Source organism: Homo sapiens, chromosome 6 (assembly GCF_000001405.40).
Source record: "Homo sapiens chromosome 6, GRCh38.p14 Primary Assembly".
Lineage (NCBI taxonomy): Eukaryota > Metazoa > Chordata > Mammalia > Primates > Hominidae > Homo > Homo sapiens.
The window spans coordinates 77,585,090-77,587,200 of NC_000006.12; the positions used below are offsets into that span (position 1 = coordinate 77,585,090).

A 2,111-nucleotide genomic window follows, 5' to 3' on the forward strand; every position below is an offset into this window, starting at 1 on the left:
AATTACTAAAGAAGTTGGATGTCTCTTAAGGACTTTTTTTTTTTCTTTTGCCTCTGCTGTAAAATGCTTGATCGTACCTTTTGTCAATTTTTTATTGAAATGTTTGTATTTTTCTTATTGACTCATTGTTATAACATATATATTTTTAATTTATTTCTTTGTTGGCTGTTTGTGTTACAAATATCTTTTAATTTGTGGCTTAAATCTTCACTCTCTTCATAACAATTTGATATGTAAAATATTTTAATACAGTCAAATTAATATTTTTTAAATATTTTTAAAATTTTTGACTTTTTAAAGAGTTATTTTCTTTCCTAAAATAAAGTCTTAAAAGTATTAATCTATATTCTTTTTCTAATTTTATAAATTAGCATTTAATCCAAAGGGAATCTGGGATTTTTTGTTTCTTGAATTGTTTAAATTAATAAATGGTCAACACAGTCTTTGGCCAACCATAGTAGTAACCATAGCAGAGTAAATGTTGGATGGTAGATTAGAAAGATGGAAAGACCCTTAATCATTGATAATTTAATTAAATATCTAAATAAACCTTGGAACCACCTATTTTCTGATTTCTTGCTATTTGAGATAATGTTTTTGCTGCCTGAGCCACTCTTTTTTGCAGCTTTAGTAAGGTATGATTAATAAATGTGAGATATATGTAATATATATATTTCATATACACTATGTATATGTAATGATAATGTGAGATATACGTAATATATATATTTCATATACACTATGAAATAATTACCACAATTAAGCTAGCTAATATATCAATCACCTCACATAGTTACCATAGTTGAACTCATAGTAACAGAGAATAGAATGGTGGTTACCAGGGACTGAATGTGGGGAAAAGGGGGAGCTATTGATTAGAGGGTTCAAACCTTTAGTTAAAAGATTATAAGTACTGGAAATGTAATATACAACATGGTGACTACAGTTAATAATATTGTCTTATATACTTCAAATTAGCAGAGGGTAGATCTCAAGTGTTCTCACCACACTCACACACACACACACACACACACAGACATTCACACACACACACACAATGGTAAGTGAGCCACTCATGTCTGAGTATTCTTTTACTTACTCTTAAACATTTACTATTTGATAAAAGGTATTACAACTACCTGGGCACGTTTTCCTAAGCAAGAGGCACATTTTCCTAAGTAAGATTGGGAAACAGAACAGAAAAATCAAGACAAGCTAGCACAACCCTGATCCAATTATTAGGTTGGTGCAACAGTAATTGCAGTTTTGCATTGTTAAAATTTGCCATTTGATATTGGAATACATTCTTAAATAAATATGGTTATGTTATTCATCATTTTAGGGTATATTTCTCACTTTTTTTGCTAATGACATTGCTTGCTATATATTTTATATTTATTTCAGACTATCGAAATGACATTAGACAAAAAGAAAATTTGAGGGATTTTCTTATTCGAGTTCAAAATGGATTGTAAAGCAGCAAAAACAACTCGAAACATCAACAACACATTTGGCCCAGGAGCTGCTAACGAATGTACAGTGCAGTGGTGGTTCAAGAAGTTTTGCAAAGGAGACTAGAGCCTTGAAGATGAGGAGCATGGTAGTCGGCCATCAGAAGTTGACAACAACCAATTGAGAGCAATCATCGAAACTGATCCTTTTACAACTACAGAAGTTCCTGGCTGGGCGCAGTGGCTCATGCCTGTAATCCCAGCACTTTGGGAGGCCTAGGCGGTGGATCACTTGAGGTCAGGAGTTTGAGACCAGACTGGCCAACATGGTGAAAATGGATTGTAAAGTAATCCATTAATAGAGACAGTGAAACCTCGTCTCTATTAAAAATACAAAAATTAGTTGGGTGTGGTGGTGGGCCCCTGCAATCCCAGCTACTCGGGAGGCTGAGGCAGGAGAATCCCTTGACCTCAGGAGGCAGAGGTTGCAGTGAGCTGAGATTGCACCACTGCACTCTGACCTGGCCAGCAGAGGGAGACTCTGTCTCAAAAAACAAACAAACAAAAAACAAAACAGAAGTTGTCGATGAACTCAATGTGAACCACTCTACGGCATTTGAAGCAAATTGGGAAGGTGAAAAAGCTTGATAATGGGTGCCT

At 34.3% G+C, this 2,111-nt stretch overlaps 1 annotated feature.

Annotated features, from left to right (window-relative positions):
* Positions 1,683-1,852: an enhancer, noted in NCBI's record as "experimental_95327 CRE fragment used in MPRA reporter constructs". NCBI's record gives its function as "activates a minimal promoter by MPRAs in K562 erythroleukemia cells, with activity observed for the introgressed 6:78296574 variant allele {active_cell/tissue: K562}" and the evidence as "EXISTENCE:reporter gene assay evidence [ECO:0000049][PMID:34662402]".